General features: G+C 36.3%; 1 protein-coding gene across 11 annotated transcripts in view; it reads left to right on the top strand.

Moving 5' to 3' along the window:
- Positions 1-5,482, top strand: part of INPP4B (inositol polyphosphate-4-phosphatase type II B) — an 823,376-nt gene that overhangs the window by 77,897 nt on the left and 739,997 nt on the right. The window lies entirely within an intron of this gene.

The raw sequence follows: 5,482 nt of genomic DNA, 5'->3' as shown, positions 1-5,482 counted from the left end.
GCTTTAACCACTTGACATGAATTACTTTATTAAATTCCTACAACAATGCTCTGAGGTAGATAATACAGTCAATGCCTTCACTGCCTTGTGTCATTGTGACTTAACTCTGATTTCAGTCATCTCCATGGCCATTCCTGAGGCCACTCCTATGTGACTGCTAAGATTGTGTTCAGATAGCACATCCTCTGGGAAATCTTTCTGACTGCTATGACCTCTGGGCAGAGTGTGTTGCTATCTACTTTGTGTAGCAATTACACCCAATATATACGTTTATCTTGATGTCTAGTGCTTTGACTGACAAATGCTTCTTTGCTGCCTGTAGTACACTGTGAAGAGACTGAGAGCAGTCTTTAGTATTTATTTATTCACTTAATTTATTGTTATTATTTTTGTATCACATGGTATAAAGCACTTAGTGTCTGGTAGGCACTCAGTAAATGTTAAAAAGAAGAATCACAGCTAACATAATTGATCCCTTGCTATATGCCAGGTTCGTTCTAACCACTTTACATGAATTACTTTATTAAGTCCCTACAACAATGCTTTTGAGGTAGACAACACAGCCAATGCTTCCAGTGCCCTGTGTCACTGTGACATAACTCATATTTCAGCCATCACTATGGCAGAGAGTTTTGTGTGAGCTCAGACTTGTGCTGAGTGTCTCACCCCATGCACAAGTATCAGTCTGCCTGTTCAGGCCTTCTCTAAAGTGCAGGAAGTCACTAGATCTTTCTAATGTCCTGGCACAGAAGTGAAGTGGATTTAACATTCTCAGGGCAACCCTCAACCACAGATGCACAGGAGCTGGTGGGTAAATTCTCTAGCTTCCCACCCTTTGAATGGACAATTCTAAGAGGCATTCTGTACACTCTTGGAAGTCTCAGCTGAGTCAAACTTCCATTGCTTATAGAAGCAACTTCTGTAATTTACTCCTATTGTAGCTCTGTCTCACTCTTGTCATTCGTAACTCCTTCCAGAGAATTCTCCCAAGCCAAATACCTGCATCCAAGATCTTGTCATGTTCTATTTTGGAGAAACCCAAATGAAGATAAGTACTACTATTATCCCCAGTGTATTTGAAACAGAGGCACAGAGAGGCTAAGCTAAGTTACTTGCCTAAGACTTTACACCTGGAAAGTGAAAGAGACTAGATTTGAACTCGGATAATCTGGCTGCAGAGCCAGCCCATTCCTGACTATCACTCTATGCTCAATGAGGTTTATAACAGATATAGGGGTCTCAAACAGTCTAATATTACCTACCTGCCCTTATAATGTTTAAAACTTGTCTTGGCTGGAAGGTTAAGTTTTCATATCTCTTACCTAGGTTTGGAAGCAAGGGCATACTGCTTCTTTAGATTTTCACCCTCTTTCAAATGAATTCCCACTTTTAAGCTCCAAAGTGTTTTCCCCTCCCCCACCGGAAGAAGAACAATCTAAAAGAGTGACAGAGCAAACATTAAAGTATTGTAACTTCCCACTTTCAAAAGCTCCATTTTTAAAATCTCACATTGGAGGGCTTTGAATAGAGGCAGTGTGAAAAGTGGAATGAGCGTTTAGATTATCATTGAGGAAACCAGTGTCATCTGAATCACTAACTAGGTTCATCACCTTGGGTGGCTTTATTCCCCAATCTGGGCCTCAGTTTTTCCTATTGTGTAAGATAAAGAGTTTGAGTTAAAGTGGCTGCTCTTACTGTTTTTAGAGTCATTAAGAATCTTCTGAACTCTATGTATATCATCTCTATTATTTCTCCTCCCACTCTAAATACACATCCACATGTACATGTATTCTTCCTTGAGTAATTTCAGATGCTGGTGTCATCTCTGGATCCTCTGGGGTTAAAAATCCATGGACACAATCTCTAAATCCTATTCCAGTTCCAGCCTCCTATGGTCTTAGGTAAGGAAGCACACATTGATTTCATTTTGCTTTAGATTTTTTTTTTGAGAAAATACTTTATGGCTGGGCATAAAGGTTCATGCCTGTAATCCCAGCACTTTGGGAAAGAATCACTTTGGGAGGAGAATCACTTGAGGTCAGGGGTTCAAGACCAGCCTGGCCAACATGGTGAAACCCTGTCTCTACTGAAAATACAAAAATTAGCTGAGTGCGGTGGTGCACGGCTGTAATCCCAGCTACTCGGGAGGCTGAGGCAGGAGAATCACTTGAGGTTGCAGTGAGCCAAGATTGTGCCACCATTGCACTTCAGCCTGGGTGACAGAGTGAATGAGACTCCATCTCAGAAAAAAAAAACAAAAAAACACCTTATGCTTTCTGCTGTCAGACTAACCATAAACGAATTATTTAATGAGTCCAGGTGATTTTTAAAATAGACATTAGTGAGAAGAAACAAACATTTATATCTTACACCTTATTCTGTTGTTATTCTATGGTTGAATATTTTATTTCGCCATGACAGTAGATATGTAAATGATTGACTGATAGGCACACCCTACAAATAATGTTTGTTGTACAATATAAATAAAATTTAACATAATGAGAACATGATGGGTAGGTATTCTGATATTTCTGTTTCTGATTCCAATATCTGTGATTAAGATGTTTATGCAAATGTTTCACTGCTCTGGACTGTTCTATAAGTTATATTGATTCAATATCTCTACTTTCTTTAGAGAGAAAAATCTCATTAAGTGAGAATCTAATGGGCTGGAAAAATTCAACAGACTAACCTCAGATGAAGTAATATATTTATTGAAAAAAATAGCACCTTGTTAGCTGGAAAATAATGATACATTGACTTACATTGTTCTGTATTTGATTAAAAAAAAAAAAACCAGAAGCTTTTTGCTGAGTTTCTTGCACAAGTTTTATGAGCTGGATTATAGCTTATAAGAGATGATGATCAGAAAAATAATGCTGGATTTTAGTTCATGTTTATATAAATAAAAGAAAGATGTTGGCATACTATGTTGTCAACTGGTTTAACCGATATCTCCCTTAGAAGTGACAGTAATAAGTTAACAGTGAAAATCCTTACAATTTTCTGGATCTATCCAAAGTCAGTTCTATTTTGTTAATTTTATCTTCAAGCAAATTTTCTCTCACATGATTGTTTGGAGGAGAGTGGGGAAATACATCTATTTTCAATTACAAGGACCACCTTCCACCTGTCTACTGATTTTCCATTACAACCCTTCCTCTAAATGCAGTCAAAGTTGTTGGTCCAGTCTGAATTTCTGTGCTGTATTTGGAAAGAGTGTTTTGGTGCAGTCCACCACTTGCTGTGCTTTAAGACTCATGATATACTCAGGTGGTCACAACTCTTGTGTAATTTTATTTTGCAGAATTACACATCCAGCCCTTCAGTGCCACCCCCACCTATAAGTGCCTTGTAGACCTCATTTCCCTCACCTGTGCTTCTGGATCCATGCTTAATCTTTTAAAAGCTTCAATATCTTCATTGCCTTGCTAATCTCTAATTTGGGGCCATTCCATTATCAACTTTTTTCACTGTCAGATTACCAAGCTTTGTTGCAGAATGCCATGACATTTTTTGGACTGAGGTCTGTGCAGCATCATGATCTCTCACCTCTGCTGTATCCTCACTGTGGCTTAATCTCCTATTTATCTTACTTTCTAGGATATTTCTCAAAGTAATTGCACCAAATGTTTTTCACTTTTTTCAAACACCTGATTGCACCATCCCCAGAGTAGATTATTTACTCTTAAGAGAGTAAATCTCATATGTCCCTAGTCTTAACGAGTTTCATGGTTCCCTTTGTCCTTTCTAACCAAGCGAACGTCTTAGCCTCATATTTAAGGGCCTCGATGGTCTAGCCTTAACCTCCGTGTTCTAGCATGTGTATCTGAGGATCTCCAGATACACATGCTAGACCCTCCTGTTAAGGGTCTCTTGTCTTCAGAGTAGATCTTGATTAACATTAATGTCAGGAGGTGGGAGGGTGGGGTAGAGGATGGAAACTAATGCTGGGTGTTGCAGAATAAAGAAATCCTCAGAGATTTAGGACATTGTCCTCTCTCAGAAATATCTCTGGAGGAATAATGGCTGCTATGAATTCTGATATGTTCCTAGGAGAACAGCTGGTTTCTCTTTGTTCTTGTCAAAACAAGATGGTTATGTTCACAGGGTGGGATCTCAGTATCATTAGAGCCCCAACTAAGATTTTTTTTTTATTTGACAGTATCTATAACATCAACAACTTCTTTGATGTCAGCCCAGTATGGTGCTGTGCCAGCTATTTTCTGACAGTTGCCTTGAATTTTTTATTATTGTGTAAAGCAAGAAATGACCTTTGAGGATTTCAGTATCTGTTTGATGTATGTGTTCATTCATATACTTTTCCAACTACCATTTTAAAAGTCAAGAAATGAACCTAAGAGTTTAGTGAGAAAAGAGCTTCTATTGTTTTTAGTTTGCTTGTGAGTTTTTACTTACGAAGTACAGATTAAATGCAGTTTGTATTTCAGATGTAAATTATATATTTTTATTGCATATGCATGTGTAATTTTGTCTAACACGTCAAAAAGGGGAATAAAAATATCTTGAGGATGTGATGAAACTTTTTGGAGAAAAGAAAAATTTACGCTCTCATAAATTATTAATAAAATTAGCATTCTGTCATAACTTTTTGAACTTGAAATAAAACATCTTAAAATGAATAAGCTCAAAGAATTTTAAAGAGCAGATTGAGCTTTTAGGCAGCCTCAATGAATATGTTGAATCATTAATTTTCTATAGAATTTCCTTTCTGTTTCAATTTTATGAGAGCTTAGATAATTTCATGTCTTGACTATTGACATTGCTTCTTTGCTGATTTTTTAAAAAAATTTTTACAAAGCAAAATTTGTAATTTTGTCTTTAGAAAATTTCCTAACCACAGAGATGTATGGCATAAAAATTGAACCATAGTTAAAATTGGTTCAGGCATCACTTTTACTTTGGTAGTATACACAGCTAGCACACTGGTGGTTACTAGTTTCCTACTTCCTTATGATATTATTTATTTGTTCTTTAGAAAAGCAACAAGTACAATTTGAATATATTTATGGCTTCCAAGTTTTTCCTTAAGATCTGATGTTATATTATGTTGTAATTGTCAAGCTCAGTTTCCCTTCTCAATCATGGGTTGATTTTTCTGGTGAAACTCTTCCATCCTGTTTATTAGGACAATATGTTGGTTCTTCACAATGTTCTGTTGTTTGTTTCTTGGTTTTACATATTGTTATTTAGTGTTAAATCTAATCAAGGGGGAACATTAATTAATATCTATCAAAATATTATTTCTCTTAAATTTGCCATTTTAATTTCATCAGTAAAATGTGTTAATGACTTTTAAAAAATTATGAAAGACTTCTGTTAGTGTTAACAAGTTAGCATACTTGGAGAGAGACTTAGAATATATTTAAATGTAAGCTTCTAAGCAATTTTCACAATATCATTTAAGATTGAAATAAGATAATGTAGTCGCAAGTGAGTAGAAACTGATGCTTAGAGAAAT

The sequence above is a fragment of the Homo sapiens genome, chromosome 4 (assembly GCF_000001405.40).
Source record: "Homo sapiens chromosome 4, GRCh38.p14 Primary Assembly".
NCBI classification, from domain to species: domain Eukaryota; kingdom Metazoa; phylum Chordata; class Mammalia; order Primates; family Hominidae; genus Homo; species Homo sapiens.
This window is presented reverse-complemented; position numbering and strand designations above follow the sequence as displayed.